The sequence below is a fragment of the Homo sapiens genome, chromosome 10, assembly GCF_000001405.40.
Source record: "Homo sapiens chromosome 10, GRCh38.p14 Primary Assembly".
Classification (NCBI taxonomy): domain Eukaryota; kingdom Metazoa; phylum Chordata; class Mammalia; order Primates; family Hominidae; genus Homo; species Homo sapiens.
Window position 1 is genome coordinate 25,091,641 of NC_000010.11, and position 19,079 is coordinate 25,110,719.

At 41.8% G+C, this 19,079-nt stretch overlaps 1 annotated feature.

The window, feature by feature from the left end:
- Positions 14,158-14,761: an enhancer, noted in NCBI's record as "NANOG hESC enhancer chr10:25394727-25395330 (GRCh37/hg19 assembly coordinates)". NCBI's record gives its function as "activates a minimal SCP1, AML or CMV promoter by ChIP-STARR-seq in naive H9 embryonic stem cells {active_cell/tissue: H9 hESC(naive)}" and the evidence as "EXISTENCE:reporter gene assay evidence [ECO:0000049][PMID:30033119]".

The window sequence follows — 19,079 nt, forward strand, 5'->3', positions numbered from 1 at the left end:
TTGCCCAGGCTGGTCTCAAACTCTTAAGCTCAAGTGATCCTCCCACATGAACCTTCCAAAGTGCTGGGATTACAAGTGTGAACTACTGCACCCAGCTGATGGTCTTTTTAATATACTGTTGGATTTGGCTTACTATAATGGTATTTTTTGAGGATTTTTGCATTAATATTTATCAGAGATATTGGTCTGTAGTTTTCTTTTTTCAATGTGTCTTTTTTTCTGGTTTTGATATCAGGGTAATACTGGCCTCATAGAATGAGCTGGAGGTATTCCCTCCTCCTCTATTTTTTGGAATAGTTTGAAGAGGATTGGTATGAGTTCTTTAAATGTAGGATTCAGCAGTGAAACTGTAGGGCCCCAGGTGTTCTTTCCTGGGAGACTTTTTATTACAGCTTTGCTCTCATTATTTGTTATTGGTCTGTACAGATTTTGGATTTCTTCATGGTTCAATCTTGGTAGGTTGTGTCTATGGATTTTTCCATTTCTTCTAGATTTTCCAGTTTATTGACATATAGTTGCTCATAGTAGCCACTAATGGTACTTTGAATTTCTGTAGTATCAGATATGTCTCCATTTTCATCTCTGATTTTATTTATTTGGATATTTTCTCTTTTTTCTTAGTCTGTCTAATGTTTTATCAATTTTGTTTAACTTTTCATAAAACCAGCTTTTTGTTCCATTGATCCTTTGTATTGTTTATTTCAATTTCATTTATCTCTGCTCTGATCTTTATTATTTATTTTCTTCTATTAATTTTAGTTTTGCTTTGCTCTTGCTTTTTTAGTTCTTTAAGATGTATCATCAGGTTGTTTATTTGAAGTTTTTCTACTTTTTTGATGTAGGCGTTTATAGCTATAAAATTCCCTCTTAGTAGTGCATTTGCTGTATCCCATAGGTTTTATTATGTTGTGTTTCTATTACCATTTGTTTCAAGAAATTTTTCAATTTTCTTCTTGATTTTTTTGTTAACCCACTGGTCATTCAGGAACATATTGTTTAATTTCCATGTATTTGTATAGTTTCCAAATTTCTTTTTTATTGATTTCTAGTTTTATTCCATTATGATCAGAGAAGATGCTTGATATTATTTTAACTTTTCTGAATATTTTGAGACTTGTTTTGTGACCTAACATATGGTCTATCTTTGGAAATGGTCCATGTACTGAGGAAAGGAATGTGTATTCTGCAGCCATTGGATGAAATGTTCTGTAAATATCTATTAAGTCCATTTGGCCTATAATATAAATGAAGTTTGATGTTTCTTTGTTGACTTTCTGTCTGGAAAATATGTCCAATGCTGAAAATGGGGTGTTGAAGTCTCCAGGTGTTATTGTATTGGGGCCTATTTCTCTATTTACCTCTAATAATATTTGCTTTATATGTTGGGGTGCTACGGTGTTGGGTGCATATATATTTAGAATTGTTATATCCTCTTGCTGAATTGACCCCTTTATCATTATATAGTGACCTTCTTTGTCTCTCTTTTTTTTTTTTTTTTCAAGCCAGGATCTTTCTCTGTCACCCAGGCTGGAGGGCAGTGACATGATCTCGGCTCACTGCAACATCAACCTCCTGGGCTCAAGGTATCCTTCCTCCTCAGCCTCCTGAGTAGCTGGAACTACAGACATGCACCACTGTGCTTGGCTAATGTTTGTATTTTGTGTAGAAATGAGGTTTTACCGTGTTGCTTAGGCTAGTCTCAAACCCCTGGGCTCAAGAAATCCACCTGTCTCAGCCTCCTAAAGTGCTGAGATTACATGCATAAGCTACTGCACCCAGCCCATTGTCTCTTCTTATAGCTATTCATGCTCTTTTTTTTGGCTTCATTTGGCATGGAATATCTTTTTCTATCCATTTATTTTCAATCTATATGTGTCCTCATAGGTGAAGTGTGTTTCTTGTAGGCAATAGATCAACGGCTCTTGTTTTATCCAGTTGGCCACTCTATGTCTTTTGATTGGAAAGTTTAGTCCATTTATATTGAGTGTTATTATTGATAAGTAAGAACTTACTCCTGCCATTTTGTTATTTGTTTTTTGGTTATTTTGTGATCTTCTCTTATTTCTTTCTTTTCTTCCTGTTTTCCTTTTAGTGAAGGTGATTTTCTCTGGTGATATGATTTAGTTTCTTGCTTTTGATTTTCTGTGTGTCCATTGTATCCATGAGGCTTGCAAATACTATCTTATAGCCCATTATTTTAAGCTGATAACAAGTTAACACTATTTGCATAAACAAACAAACAAGCAAAAAAAGAAAACTAATAAAGATTTTCTGACTTAACTTTGTTCCCTGCTTTTAAACTTTTTGTTGTTTCTATTGATATCTTATTGTACTGCTGTCTTAAAAAGTTTTAGTTATTATTTTTTATTGCTTTATTGTTTAGTCTTTCTACCTAAGATAAGAGTAGTTTACACACCACAATTACAGTGTTATAATATCCTGTGGTTTTCTGTGTACTTACTATTACTAGTGAGTTTTGTATCTTCAGGTAATTTCTTATTGCTCATTAGCATCCTTGTCTTCTTTCAGATTGAATAACTTAACTCCCTTTAGCATTTCTTGCAGGACAGATCTGGTGTTGATGAAATCCCTCAGCTTTTGTTTGTCTGGAAAGTCTTTATTTCTCCTTCATGTTTAAAGGATATTTTTTCTAGATATGCTATTCTAGGGTAAATTTTTTTTTCTCCAGCACTCTAAATATGTCATGCTACTCTCTTGACCTGTAAGGTTTCCACTGAAAGGTCTGCTGTCAGATGTATTGAAGCTCCATTGCATGTTATTTGTTTTTTGTCTCTTGCTGCTTTTAGAATCCTTTCTTTATCCTTGACATTTGGAAGTTTAATTATTGAATGCCTTGAGGTAGTCTTCTTTGGATTAAATCTGCTTGGTGTTCTATAACCTTCTTGTACTCAAATATTGATACCTTTCTCTAGGTTGGGGCTGTTCATTGTTATTATCTCTGTGAATAAATTTTCTACTCCTATCTCTTTCTATACATTCTCTTTAAGGTCAATAACTTTTAGATTTTCCCTTTTGAGACTATTTTCTAGATCCCATAGGTGTGCTTTGTCATTTTTTATTCTTTTTCTTTTGTCTCCTCTGACTGTGTATTCTCAAATGGTCTGTAATCAAGCTCCCTAATTCTTCTGCTTGATCATTTCTGCTGTTAAAAGTCTCTGATGCATTTTTCAGTATGCCAATTGCATTTTTCAACTCCAGAATTTCTGCTTGACTCTTTTTTACTATTTTAATCTCTTTGTTAAGTTTATCTGATAGAATTCTGAATTCCTTCTCTGTGTTATCTTGAATTTCTTTGGGTTTCCTTAAAGCAACTATTTTGAATTCTCTCTCTGAAAGGTCACATATCTCAGTTTCTCCAACATTGGTCCCTGGCACCTTATTTAGGTCATGTTTTCCTGGATCATCTTGATACTTGTAGATGCTCATCTGTATCTGAGCATTAAAGAGTCAGCTATTTATCATAGTATTTGAAGCCTGGACTTGTTTCTAGCCATTCTTCTTGGGAAGACTTTCCATATATTTGAAAGGACTAGGGTGTTGTGATCTAAGCTGTGTCTGCTTTAGGGGGCACCCCAAGCCCAGTAATGCTGTGGTTCTTGCAGACTCATAGAGGTATCACCTTGATGGTCTTGGACAAGATCCAGGAGAATTCTCTGAATGACTAGGCAGAGACTCTTGCCTCTTCCCTTACTTTATCCCTGAAATTTGGAGTCTCTTTCTCTGTTCTGAGCCTCCTGGAACTTGGGGTGGAGTGACACAAGCACCTCTGTGGCCACCACCACTAGGACTGTGCTGGGTCAGACCTGAAGCTAGCACAGCATTGGATTTCACTCCAGGCATGCTGTAACTACTCCCTGGCTATGGCTTGTGTTTGCTCAAGGCCCTGGGGCTCTACAATCAACAGATGGAAAAGCCAGCTAGGCCTGTGTTCCCCAGGACACAGGTGATGCATTCCCCCAGGCCCCCAGTGATTCCAGAGGTGCCGTCGAGGAGCCAGGGACTAGAGTCAAAAACCTTAGAAATCCACCTGGTGTTCTATCATACCGTGGCTAGGCTGGTGCTCAAACCACAAGATGCAGTCCATTCCACTCTTCCCTCCCCTTTCCAAAGGAAGAAGAGCCTCACCTGATGGCCACCACCACCACAGGCCCATGGGTGTGCTGCCAGACTACCACTGATGTTCTCTTAAAACCCAAGGTCTCTTCAGTCAAATTGTGGTGAATGCTCCCTGGCCTGGGACTCACCCTTTGGGGCAGTGGGTTCCCCTCTGGCCCAGGGCAGGTACAGGAATGCCATCTAGGAGCCAAGTCTTGGAACTAGGGACTCCAAGTGCCTGCTTGGTGCTCTACCCCTCTGTGGCCAAGCTGGTACCTAAAGTGCCAGGAAAAGTAAAGACTTTACCCTCTGCTTTTCTCAAGTTGAAAGAGTCTCACCCTATAGCCACCATAGCTGGGAATGTGCTAGTGTCACCTAAAGCCAGCAAGTCTCAGAGGCTCATCCAAGGCCTTTGATGTAGTATCTGAGTATTGCTACTGGTTATTCAGGGCCCAAGAGTGGGTCTTCAGTTAGCAAGTAATAAATCCTGCCAGGACCAGGTCTTCCCTTCAAGGCAGCAGGATCTCTTTTGGCTCAGGGTGTGTCTAGAAATGTCCTTCAGGAGCTGGGGTCTAGAAAGGGGGCCTCATGCCTTTAACCAGTGCCTTATCCTACCAATTGGTATTCAGGGTACAAGACAAAGTCCTTCCCACTCTTCCCTGTCCTCTCTTCAAGTGGAAGGAAAGGGTCTTTTTTGGAGTCACAAGTTGTGCAGTCTGGGTTTAGGGGAGGGGTGATACCACCACTCCCAAAGCCATGCCAGCTGATGTCCCAGTTAGTCATTTGCCTGCCACCCCACTAACTCACCGCCAGCCCCAGTCTACTGTATTTGGGCCTAGTTCAGCACTAGGACTAGCCTAGGAGTTGTAGTCCTTGTAGCCTAGACTGTCTTTCAAGTGTATTTATGGCCCCAGAGCACTTTAGCCTATGGTGGCGAGGATTGTGGGAACTCAAGTTTTGATCACAAGGCTCCGCAACTCCCCTCTGGCCAGGGCTGATTTAAATGCTCCCTCCGTGCACTGGTGTCAGCTGAGTTTGGTCCTGTTTTGTTCTCTGTTATAATAGGGCAACACAGAGTTCAGTGCCTCACAATTGCTGTGCTCTCCCTCTCCCCAGTGCACAGAAAGATTCTCTGTACCATTCTGCCCCTGCCAGGAGTTAGGGGAGGGGTGATGTCAGCAATTCAAGACTGTTTTTCCTACCACTTCAGTTCCTCTTTAGGTTATATGAAGTTAAAACCAGGTACTGTGAGTGCTTACCTGATTTTGGGTTCTTTCTGTGTGTGGATAGCTGTTATATCGATGTCCTTGCCAGGGGAACAGTTCAGTGGAGCCTTCTATTCTGCCATCTTGCTCTGCCTCCTTCTCCACATCCTTGGAATTCTGTCTTTTTAATTTCTTCATGTCCTGAAGATTCTTCCTCTTTTTTCCCCCCAAACACTATCATAAAATGTAAAAGTTACTAAGAAGCAAATACCTTTAAAATCTGTGAAGGTGTTAGCTGAAAGAATTGTTTAAACTGTTGAGCTAAGATGTTCATGGTTATGACTGGATTATGTAAGTGTATAGTTTGGGGGCATTTTTCTTCCTCTGGAGACTTTTCTCACCTGAGCCTTTAAAAAATCTTTTTGTACTTTTTTTCTGAAGGGAGTGGAACAAATGGAAAAAGCAAAGGTATGTTGCCCTTAGCAACTTGACTTGAGCTATCAGAGCACCACTAAGCAAAAATAGCAACTTAATTAAAGGATATGGCTCTGTGGAACTTTGCCAGCCTACAGGGGAAAGTCAACCCACCCTGGCTCCAAGTACCATACAGGGGGCCAACATCTCCAGATTGGAATCAAAATTTGTTTTCGGTATGGGTGGTTTAATTTATTCAATGAATGTTCTTTAAGCACCTTCTGTGGACAGTACAAAGACAAACACACTGTCTTCTGGAGAAGAGAGAGAGAGAGAAGGAGGAAAAGGAGGAGCGGGAGGAGAGAGAATTTCAGACAGTTAAGATATGCTATGTAGAAAGTAAAACAGAGTAAAGAAGTAGACAGCGACCAATAGGGGCAGCGGTGGCCTGGAGTAGGGGCATAGGTCATACAGTAAGATATGAGTGCCCCAGATCTTCCATTGTCATTACTGCCATATTTGACACCTGAAGTGAATGAATCATAGTTTAACAACCACCTCTTGTACACAGCAAAGTATTTTCAATAAGAATTATAATAGTAAAAGAAGAATGACCAGGAAACGGCTGGGCGTGGTGGCTCATTCCTGTAATCCCAGCACTTTGGGAGGCTGAGGCAGGAGGATAGCTTGAGCCCAGAAGTTTGCGACCAGTCTGGGCAATATAGGGAGATTCTGCTTCTACAAAAATATGTTTAAAAAATTAGCTGGGCATGGTAGTGCATGCCTGTAGTCCCAGCTACTTGGGAGGCCAAGGCAGGAGGATCAATGAAACCCAGGAGGTTGAGGCTGTAGTGAGTCATGATTGTGCCACTGCACTCCAGCCTGCGCAATAGAGTGAGACCTTGTCAAAAAAAAAAAAAAAAAGAGAAAGAAAGACCAGAAAAGAAGCAGTAAGATTTTTCTTTTCTTGAACTTTGTTTACACATTTAGGCCAATAAAAATTGTTTTTAAAAATAAAGCCTAAGATAAACATTACAACACATAAAAGAGAAACTGTACAGCACTTCAACAGATCTTATATCTACACAGCAATTTGAACTAATATATAATTAGTCTGATATAATATCTCATGAATAATTTTTAGTAATTATTAGATAAATATTAATAAAGTAGAAAGATCTACAAAAATTATAATTTAGGTAACTATGAAATCATACCACAAATATTTTTTTCTCAACTCATTCTCTACTTTTAAAACAATTATCTGTAGTGCCAGCTACTCGGGAGGCTGAGGCAGGAGAATCGCTTGAACCTGGGAGGTGGAGGTTGCAGTGAGCCGAGATCACACCACTTCACTCCAGCCTGGTGACAGAGACTCCCTCTCGAAAAAAATAAATAAATAAAATAAAATAAAATAAATACATTTCAAGTTAAAGATATTATGAAAATTCCGTAAAATAATATATGAAATAAAGTTTGTACCTAACCCCCCCAAAAAATAAATAAACTACAACTCACCTCACAGTTCTCAGTACTTCACTGTTTTAAAATTTATTTTCATTTTATTTTTAAAAATTTATTTCAATAGCTTTAGGGATACAAATGGTTTCTGTTTACATAGATGAACTATATAGTGGTGAAGTCAGGGCTTTTAGTGTATCCCTCACCTGAGCAGTGTATGTTGTACCCAATAGGTACTTTTTCATCCCTCCCTCACCCCCCTCCTTTTCTCCCCTCTTCTGAGTCTCCAATGTCCATTACACTGCTCTGTATGCCCCTGCATACTCATAGCTTAGCTCTCTCATAAGTGAGAACATGTGGTATTTGGGTTTCCATTCCTGAGTTATTTCACATTGGATAATGGCCTCCTGTCCAGTTGCTGCAAAAGATGTGATTTTATTCTTTTTTATGGCTGAGTAGTATTTCATGGTATATATAATACCACATTCTCTTTATTCGCTCATTGGCTGATGGGCAAGTAGGTCGATTCCATAGCTTTGCAATTGTGAATTGTGCTGTGATACACACACACATGCAGCTGTCTTTTTTGTATGATGACTTCTTTTCCTTTGGGTAGATACCCAGTGGTGGGATTGCTGGATCAAAGGGTAGATCTACTTTTAGTTCTCTGAGAAATCTCATACCGTTCCCCATAAAAGTTGCACTAATTTACATTCCTAGCAACAGCGTATAAGTGTTCCCTTTTCACTGCACTGGCACCAGCATCTGTTGTTTTTTGACTTTTTAGTAATGGCCGTTCCGGCTGGGGTAAGGCGGTATCTCATGGTGGTTTTAATATGCATTTCCCTGATGATTAGTGATGAGGAGCATGTTTTTTGGCCATTTGTTTATCTTCTTTTGAGAAATACCTTTTCATGTCATTTGCCCACTTTTTAATGGGATTATTTGTTTGTTTGCTTTATCTTGCTGATTTATTTGAGTTCCTTGTAGATTCTGGATATTAGTCCTTTGTGTTTTAACATTTAAATATTAAATAACAAAAAATTGGTAGTCATGCCCATAATCTCAGCACTTTTGGGAGGCTGAGGTGGGAGGATCACTTGAAGCAAGGAGTCTGAGACCAGCCTGGGCACCAAAGCAAGATCCCCGTCTCCATAGAAAATTTAAAAAATTACCCAGGTGTGGTGGCACACCCCTGTAGTCCCAGCTACCCAGGAGGCCGAGGCAGAAGAATTGCTTGAGCCCCAGAATCGGAAGCTGCAGTGAGCTATTATGGCTCGACTTTACTCTAGCCAGGGAGACAGAGCGAGACCCTGTCCCTAAAAACAAACAAACAAACAAAAAAAAAACACAAAAAAACACTATTAGTGGTCACACTGAACGCCAAAATTGAGACTCAAATCCATCTTTATAATCATTGAGCTATTGTTGTTTATTTAGAATCTGCTGTTTAAATGCAAGGACATATGGTACCATAGGGATTGCAGACATGAACTTCATCCAAAACAAGCTCGAAAGATTCTGAATGGGGAAAAACTTACTCTTCAAAGGAACATGTATAGCTGTGTCTGTGTTGGAGGCCAACTGTGTAACTGGGATTTCTCCAAATTAAATTCCATATAGAATACAATGTGTATTCAAGAATAAGTTATTAACATGAGGTCATTTGACATTTGCATATATTATTAATATTGAACAATAAAGCGCAGCAATTGCTCAGAATTTAAACCAGCTAAAGATTTTTTTAGTGGGGAGGGATACTTTATCATTGACATTGTTTAAAATTACTTACAAAGATGATAATAAAATGCAAACTGGTTTTGGTCAGATGTTATTGCTTTGAAATTCTCTGCAGACAATGTTCCCTTTTATCATCTGGGTCTGAGGGCTTCAGTTGCTCTTCTGCCCTTGAGAGGCTACTGGATTTCCCCTAAACTCTCCTTCCCAACTACCTGGTGCCTAAAATTCTCCTGTTTTCACCATTTAGGTGAAAGGCTTTTAGAATGCACATACCCTGGAGTCATATCGCTTGGCCCTAGTGATAATTTTCACTTTAATCTGAAAGAGTTCATAATAGTTTATCTTGAGAGTTTAGCCATTCGTTCTTCCATTGATTTATCAAACATGTTTAACAATCCCATAATATAGGCCAATGAATGTGGCAGGGTTGTGTCCTAAGGGAATGTATACTCTTGTGGGAGAAACAGGCACATGGAGCAGCAATTGACAGCAATTGACCTCTGGCATGGTAAGGACGGGTGCCTGGTTGGATGTCCAGAGACCCCACTGCTCTGTACGAGCCTGGGGGAGGGGAGCTAATGGGGAGAAACACCCAGGGGGAAGCCGAGGCCACTGATTACCATCTTAGAGCCTGCATGTTTCCAGCCAAAGGCACCTGCATCTGTTGGCTGTGCACCACTGCAGAGGTAGGTTCTGCTGGTGCCAAATACTCTGCAAAGACTAATTTCTGCTGCTGTTGGAGACAAGAAAGAGGAAAGTGGCTCACCAGTGGGGACAGGAGGAATGGGAAGATTGAGTGATTCCCTAGAGGAAAGGCAGGACCGCTTCTTCCTTAACAAACACCCCAACCTGCCTGATGCAGTGACTCCCTTTAGAGTTCCACTTCCTGAGAGGGGCTTTGATATGAAATGCAGCATGAACCTCCTTTGCATGAATTTCCTATTAATTAATACACTGCTTCCTCTCTGCCTAGACATTGGTAAGAGTTTCCATGATACGAGGTAACTGAACTCCTGCCAAACTGTCTATCTTGTGCCTGCTTTGCATAACACAGCTTGTCTGAGGTTGGACTTGGAGTAGAGCAACTGGTTCTGGGACACCCTCCCCACAGGAGCTGAGTTTGTAAGCTGTGGTAGGTGAGTGGTTGCTATCAGGGAGCCAGAATGAACTCCAATAGGGGAAGCCTGGAAGCTGGATACAGCCAACTTGCCTTGTTTTATGCATCCTGGAACTGTTTTCTTTAGGGGTAGGAGAGGAAGGGAGATGCAGAGGAAAAGGGCTTAAATGAGAAAAGTCTTGGGAAGCCCTGTGTCCAGTCATTTCAGGTCAGGGCTGAACTGGACTCTGCCCAGGAGCATGGCTAATTAGCATCTGTAGGCAGGAACAGGAGATGGAGCTGAAGGCAGGCTCCCTGTAGCCCCAGGAGTTGCAAAAGTAGAGGGAGGGTAAAGAGCAGGCTTTGCTTCCACCTCCACCTCCTCCTCCTCTTTATAAAGCCCAGGGAACCATCTATTTGATAAATGCAGTAGAACTGGATAATGCCACTCACTAGCTATATGATGTAGAGAAAGTTAACTTTTATGGGCCTTGGTTTTCTCTTCTGAAATATAGATTGGTCTTTTTGTTCTGTAAGGTCTCTCTCCCTGTGCTGAGAATCTGGCCTTGAAGTTCAGTCCTGCCCTGGGGTAGAGGTTAGGAGGGGCTCATGGGCAAAAGAACGGCCCAGCTGATGTGTGGAGATCCCTTTCATCGCTGGGGTGGCGTGCTGATGAGGTGATGAGCCCAGAGGGCACTCAGATGTCATTGCTAATGAAGGGTGTATTCTCATATTCTTGCATTAAAGTGATCACATATTAAGTGTTTAAAAAGAACACTTTCATGGCCCTTGTTCTTAAGGAGTTTCTGTAAAAACAAGACATAGACAAACAGGCAATAAATGAAAAACAACTCAAGATGAAAAAGCTGCTTTAGAGGCCTCCCCTGAAAGCATCATGGGAAGGGGTGTCAGCTGAGTGTTGGAAAGAACAGGTTCTTAGAATTCGCAGAGGGACTGATTATAGCCTGCTGATTCATGGCTCGGGAAGCATCTGCCCGGTAACGTTTGCAGAGTTCTTTTGGGGAAAATAGAAGTGGCAGTCATTTGAAAGCTGGAACGAATGAGGCCAAGGTCACAGGGGCTACGTCTTATACTAAGGGTTAAAAAAATTGTTCTGGGTGGGGTGGGGGAAGGGAGAGCATTAGGAAACATAGCTAATGTATGTTAGGCTTAATACATAGGTGAGTGGTTGATAGGTGCAGCAAACCACCATGCCACACGTTTACCTATGTAACAAACCTGCACATCCTGCACACGTACCCCAGAACTTCAAAAATAAAAATAAATGTTCCTTAGCCATACATTGTGCCTTCTCTGCCAGGCAGCAAAGGGGACCTCAGTGCCCAAGGTGGGGAATTCCCGCAGGTTCATGTAGCAGCCCCTCCAGGACTGTCTCAGTGAAGGGAATTAAACTGCAGGGGTTGTCAGATCAGCGCTCCCCAACCCCTGTTCCTGCAAATCCACTGGCAGGATCAGCCCTGCCAGCCCTCTTCTCTCCCAACCCCCCCAGCATTGTTGGCATTGGCTTAGTAAGGGGACTCAGGTCAACAGGAGGTATAGCTGGGTCCCACTGGGGCTGAACAGGTGCCAGCCAGTCAGAGCCTGAAGTTGCTCCCCCATCCTTGCAGGGACACTGAGGTAATCTCATACCTCTGGGTAGCTGCTTCCTTCTGCCCTGTCTCCACAGCCAGCCTTTCTCTGCCTGCCTGTCAAGATCCATTAGCTGCTGCAGCCCTGGCTGTTTTGGATCTCTCAGCTCCAGTGTAACCCAAAGACAATCTTCTTTGGGTTACAATTCTACTTCTCAAGACAAAGAATCTCTTAGCCCATCTTGAGTCAGGTATTGTCATGCTGGATGCCTATTGACTTCAATAGGGATGGCACCATGGTCAAGAGGCTGAAGAAAAGACCCAAAGCCAGCCAACAAGACCTAGGGTTTATTCAGGGGACTTACATACAGGGATGGTCCACTGGCAATGAGCTGGATGGGAAGACTGCTGCTATTTGTGAAAAGCATGCAGTTTGTATAGCATTTTCACTTAGCGCCCTCCACCTAGCAACCTCCATTTAACCTAAAACAAAGGGCCTCAGTTCCCTGTACAGCCTGTATTCAAGGGATAGGCCAGCCTTTTCTCCAAGAAGTCTCTATGCATTCCTACTGCCATCAGAGCGTGTCTCATTTCCTTAATTACCCACATGCAGAGTAGTCCTCCTCCTGCTAAACTGCAATGGATGGTGAATTTCTGAGATAAGAACTGGGTTTTGGCTGGGCCCAGTGACTCACTCCTATAATCCCAGCACTTTGGGAGGCCACGGGAGCGGCAGATCACCTGAGGTCAGGAGTTCAAGACCAGCCTGGGCAATGCAGTGAAACCCTGTCTCTACAAAAAATACAAAAATTAGCCGGGCATGATGGCGGGTGCCTGTAATCCCAGCTACTCAGGAGGTTGAGGCGGGAGAATTGCTTGAACCTGGGAGGTGGAGGTTGCAGTGAGCCAAGATTGTACCATTGTACTCCAGCCTGGGTGACAGAGCGAGACTCAGTCTCAAAAATAAACAAATAAATAAAAATAAAAGAACCGGGTTCTAGAGTCATTTCCACATCCCCAGAGCCTAGGACCAGGCCTGAAACATGAACCATGAAAGATTCTAGATACTCAATAAACTCTGTAGACAGAGGCAGTGAGTGAATGGGTCACTTCAGGGTCAACTGGCCAATGAAAGAATGGCAGAGGGCAAGGAAGTTGGCATTGAGAGGAATGCACAGGATAAGGACTTCATTCAAGATGCTCTGTGTCTGCAGCCCAACAGAAGACCCAAATCTCCTGGTATGGGAGCAGAGTGTTGCAATTGCCGTGTGATATTCGTTTTCTTCACACTCATTTTCTATTAATTAACACAATTTTTCCTTAGCAGATGAATTGGCTGGGACCTGCAGAATCGGAGCCAGTGGGATATCTGCCAGCCTGTCCATCTTGTGCCTGCTTTGCATAATGCTCTGTGTGTGAGTGCTGGCTAGATCTGGCCTTGCCACCTGAGAAATGACACTGGGCTTCTGCATTAACAGGAAGATCTCCACTTTTGCTTTTCTTTCCACATCATGGATTTTACTTTCTTGACCCTTCCCAAATTTCAGTTTCAGGACCAGTTTGCGCTCACGAATCAGCTTGTCATATCTGGGAGGAGTTATCTTTTCGAAGGAAGGTCCTGTCACATTCAGAGGTGTTAAGCATTAACCATTCAACACCCATCTCTGCAAGTTTATTGGAGCCTCCATTTACAGAAAGCTGTCTTGTCCTCATAATGAAACAGACATTCACGCTTGGCAACAGGCTAAGGTTGAGCACCTTGATTCCTGTCTCCCATCCTTTCTGGGCTTTGTTCTCCCCAGTTTCACAGAGTTCTTTCTGCTGTAAGTGAAAACTCATTTCTGTTCCCTGAAAACTACTTTTTAGCTCATTGCCTGAAGCGTAATGCTATGGTTCACGTTACTGAGGTTTGGATAACATCTTTGCATCTTTTTTTTTTTTTACAAAACATTATTTTAAAGGAGGGGAGTGACTGGGTAGTTTACAATCCCCAAATTATTATTCTTTTAAAAACCCAATAAATCAAAATTTATAGACATCGTTCTCATTGCCAGTCATTTAAAAATGAAGCAAAGTGTTTATATGGGACAATATCTATTTATCCTCCTGAAGAATGTCCTGGTTTGGGCACTTAAGGAAGATGAGGTCATTGTCAGGTGCTGAAATTCACACTGGGTAACTTAGGGACTCATCCTGTGACTCTTTATTTGGCTCTGATTGCAAATGCATTTTAAAAGTCTCCTTAAAGAAAAACAAAGCTTTTCATGTTTACAATGAGTCTCTGGAAATTATGAAACACAATAGTCTTCTTCTGGATGTGTTGTGAGTGTCTTAAAATTGTCAAAGTTTTCCTAATTGTTGGTTATAAAAATCTGCATGGACATGCGGGTTTTTTATTAAGACATAACCTCACACATCATCCATTCATAACACATTACTGACTCTACTCCCTCTATTAGCAGCTGGAAGGAGAAATGGAAAGTTGAATTGAAAAAATGAATTTATATATTCATTTAGCTTGGTTAATTAGCTGCTGAAATAATGTCCCCATTTTTTAATGGGTGCTCCACTCGATGGATAAGGCAGATGCCCACGAAGAGGTGACAGCTCAAAAAGGCACCTGGTTTATGATAATGTTTGTCAAATACATGACAGGAAAAAGCAGGTTGAGATGTTCTATCTGCCAACAAACTAGATGCTGGCAAGCCTGGAGGCAGTTGACTGACAGCTCGTTTAAACTGAGGCTGCTTACATAATAATAGTACCATTTTGTATTCTTGATAATGCTAATGTATGCACATTCATGGATAATACATTCCATTAGACTACTGTGGACACTAGCTGTGATGCTGACCATCTGAATACAAGGAACCCCGGGATGCAATCTGATGTTTGTTTGTACATGATGCTTACCCATGATTTGTTTTTTTTTTAAAGAGGGGTAAATGATTCACGTTGTGCTTTCACTTCTATTAATTGGCATCACCACTATCAACCTTCTGAGGCCACCTCTAGATTGCAATGGTGATTTTTTTGAAAACTGAAGATCTCATTGAAAGGGGAGATAACCTTTCTGGTCTTCAAAAGCCTGACTGGAGTTGACTTAGAGCATCTCTATTTTTCTTTTCTGTGGATATTCTGAAGTTCCCAAAGTTCATTTTATTAGGTCGAAATCATTTACCTTCCCTACATCGCTGAAAATATGTTGAAGGTAGATATTGTCATTTTTATTTTGTAGAGGGGAAATTGAGATGCAGAGAAGTTGTGGCCTCCACTCAGTTGGTATTGGAGTAACAGGTAGAATCTGCTCCTCTGATTTCTAGTTAATGTATTTTTTATATCCTCCTAACTAGGTCACTAGTGAGGGGTGCCTGATAATTGGACCAGAAAAATGCTAGGTGTACAGATCTACTGGAGCTGGAAGAGAGATGTGCACTTCTATTTCAGATGTGGTCAGGAGAGGGCTGAGTGCAGCTTATGAACCAAGCCTCCCAGAGCTGACTCCTACTCTGTCTCCTCAGTTCTTCCTGTCAGTCACAGACAACAGTATTCACTATGTACCTCCTAAGACTTATTTTCAGCCTGTTGCTACTTTTTAAATACAACAGGATGTTAAAGATAAAAGTTACTGCAGAGAACATCTATCTCAAACCTTTCTTTCTTTCTTTCTTTCTTTTTTCTTTCTTTCCTTTTTTTTTTTTTTTTTTTTCCTGAGACAGAGTCTTTCTTTTTTGCCCAGACTGGAGTGCAGTGGCGCGATCTTGGCTCACTGCAGCCTCTGCTTCCTGGGTTCAAGCTATTCTCATGCTTCAGCGTCTCGAGTAGCTGGGATTATAGGTGTGCACCACCACACCCGGCTAATTTTTGTATTTTTAGTAGAGAAGTAGTTTCACCAAATTGGCCAGGCTGGTCTCGAACTCCTGACCTCAGGTGGTCCACCCGCCTTAGCCTCCAAAAGTGTTAGGATTGCAGGCACGAGCCACCACACCTGGCCTATCTCAAGCTTTTCAATTTGTGGACATTTTATGAGGGAATAGACCCAGAGTGTTTAAACAGTTTCCCTGGTGAAGTTGCAACTTTCATCTCTAGTTAGTAGCGGTGCCTGGTTCACTATACATGCCTTGACTTTTCATTATTCTTTATTTTTTAGTGATGGTTACTATTACAGCTAGTTTTAGTTAAGCTTCTACTGAGTCAAGCACTACATCTTCCAAATGGGTTACCTTATCCTCGTTTTGCAAATGGAGAAGCCGGAAGTCTATACAGTTGAGTAATTTGTCCACACAACTGCTAAGTGAAAGACAAGTGGCTCGAGTTTAAAGAGCTGGCTTAAAAGCCACAGCCTTCCTGCTTGTTCTTCCCATTTCACCGCTTTTCTGAAGGGAATGATACTGTTGCTTATGATCAGGATGGCCCAGAAATGGTATCACATATTTGCCATTAATTTATAAAGGAATATTTTGTAATAATGATTTTTTATAAAAATACTGCAGCCCAGGCCTCTCCTGCAGACATTCTGGGTTGGCACCCAGGGAAAGTTTTTAAAGCTCGCCAGGTAATTCTAACCTTCAACTAGGATTTAGAGGTATCGTAGGATGTCAGAGACAGGAGAAATCTCATTACCAATGACTATCCTAGAATCCCAGATGAACTTGGATTCCCAGAATGTGTTTTCATCATTACTATAATCACCATTGCTGTCAATCATGCTCATACAATGCATTAGAATCAGGTCAAGGAAAGGGTTAGCCCTATTCTGGTACTTCACACTGTAGCCATGATTTAGTTCCTATTTATACTTACCTTGCTATGGATGTTCACTTTGTGGAGAAATGCAATGATGCCTGTACCTGTTAACCTCCCTGGCTAGTCATAAAGCCTTGCCATTTGATGTGGTGTGCAGGGTTCAGTCTGGATATCGTAAGTGTCCTCTGCTGTTTGTACCTCTATTATTTTGCTGGTGACCAGTGGGCTCAGTTGAGGAAAGTCTAACTGGTGCTCGGGTCTCTTTTGAAGGTTGTGTAAAACAAAAATAAACTCCTAAGCCCCCCAACCAACGGAACAGACACCCCCTTGGCTAAGGGGATCACAGAGAAATCTGAAAGCTGAATTCCTGGCCATAACAGGAAGGGAAGTTGAACACACCTCATTATACCCTTAGGAGTTTAGGCACAGCTGACAAGCTTTAACATTAAAATAGAGATCGTAAGGCTGACCAGACAGACTCTTTGTGGCAATAACATACCAAATTCCAACCTGACTTCGGTATGGCATCACATGAAAGATAGCAGACCCGGAAGGAAATCAAATATAGTTTTTATCTGACCCAAAATATATTTCTTTGATGTATTTTGGAATAACCCTGCAATGCTGTCTTTTGTGGGAGAAATTTGCATCTGCAGAGAATCTCCATTAATGCAGCCAGGCCGTTCCAAGATCTAAAAGAGAGCAACTAAGAGTCTGACACCTTTTTAAGGTCCCAAAAAAGATATTTACCATCTATTCTCTGGAGGCTTCATCTACATAACAAGAACCTTGGTTTCCATAACCCACCTCATATTAATTCAAGCATTTCTTTTCACTGGCTTCAAGTCTTTAGATACAATGTAACTCTTTCAACTAATTGCCAGTTAGAAAACCTTTGACTCCATTTATGACCCACTTTGAGAAGTCCTACCTTTTTAGGCTGAACCAATGTATATCTTACATGTATTGAGTTATGTCTTTGTAATTTCTGTCTCCCTAAAATATATAAAACCAAACCATAACTCAACCACCTTGGGCACGCTTTCTCATGACCTGCTGTGACTGTTCCCTGGGCCATGGGTACTCTTGTTGGCTCAGGATAAAACTCTGAATACTTTACAGAGTTTGATTTTTCCATTAACAATTTCTAGGGGAAGTGCTCTTCCTTAGGATGATAGCATGCTGAGTTTCAGTGGAGCGATAGATAGCTCAGTCTCTTCTATTCCCAATTATGACTTTGACTGTTTAGCATCTAAACTCCTTAAGGACAGATTCCTTGACCCTAGATCTCTAATTGTAGCAATGAGTGGGTTAGGTTGCAATAGTGTTAAGCAGAAAACATAAGAGGCCACAGCCTGGCGAGGTGGCTCACAGCTGCAATCCCAGTATTTTGGGAGGCCGAGGTGGGAAGACGGCTTGAGCCCTGGAGTTCAAAACCAGCCTGGGCAACATGGTGATGTTACTGGGAAAAAGTCCCAATCCAGACCCCAAAAGAAGGTTCTTGGATCTCATGCATGAAAGAATTTGGGGTGAGTCCATAGAGTAAAGTGAAAGCAAGTTTATTAGGAAAGTAAAGGAAGAAAAGAATGGCTACTCCATAGGCAGAGCAGCGGCTTGAGCTGTTGGCCTAAAGATACTTATTGTTACTTCCTGATTACATGCTAAACAAGGGGTGGGTTATTCATGAGTTTTCCAGGGAAGGGGTGGGCAATTGCTGGAACTGAGGGTTCCTCCCCTTTTTCTGGTAACTTCCTGACATTGCCATGCCATCTGTAAACTGTCTTGGCGCTGGTGGGAGTGTCTTGTGGCATGCTAATATATTAAAATTAGCATATAATGTGCCGTGAGGATGACCAGAGGTCACGCTCATCGCCATCTTGATTTTGGTGGATTTTGGCTGGCTTCTTTCCTGCAAACTGTTTTATCATCAAGGTCTTTATGACCTGTATCTTGTGCTGACCTCCTATCTCATCCTGTGACTTAGAATGCCTAACCTCTTGGGAATGCAGCCCAGCAGGTCTCAGCCTTATTTTCCCCAGCCCCTATTCAAGATGGAGTTGCTCTCGTTCAAATGTCTGACAGTGAGACCCTGTCCTTACCAAAAATTTAAAAAATTAGCCATCCATGGGCTGAGCATGGTGGCTTATGCCTGTAATCCCAGCATTTTGGGATGCCGAGGTGGGTGAATCACGAGGTCAGGAGATCGAGACCAGCCTGGCCAACGTGGTGATACACCGTCTCTACTAAAAGATACAAAAAATTAGCCAGGCATGGTGGTGGGCGCCTGTAATCCCAGCTACTTGGGAGGCTGAGGCAGGAGAATCGCTTGAATCTGGGAGGCAGAGGTTGAAGTGAGCCAAGATCGCGCCATTGCACTCCAGCCTGGAGACAGAGAGATACTCTGTCTCAAAAAAATAAATAAATAAAATAAAATTATCCATCTATGGTGGCATGCACCTGTAGTGCCAGCTACAGGAAGCTGGGGGGCTGAGGTGGGAGGATTGCTTGAGCCCAAGAGGTCAAGGCTGCAGTGAGCTGAGATTGTGCCACTGCACTCCAGCCTGGGTGACAGAGCAAGAGCCTGTCTCAAAAAAAAAAAAAAAAAAAAAGAAAAAAAAGAAAAGAAATGCCAGAAGCCATTATTAGTTTGGAACCATTAGTAACTTTAATGGGACATTTGCATTATGCAGCTGTCATTCAGGCTGACAGGAG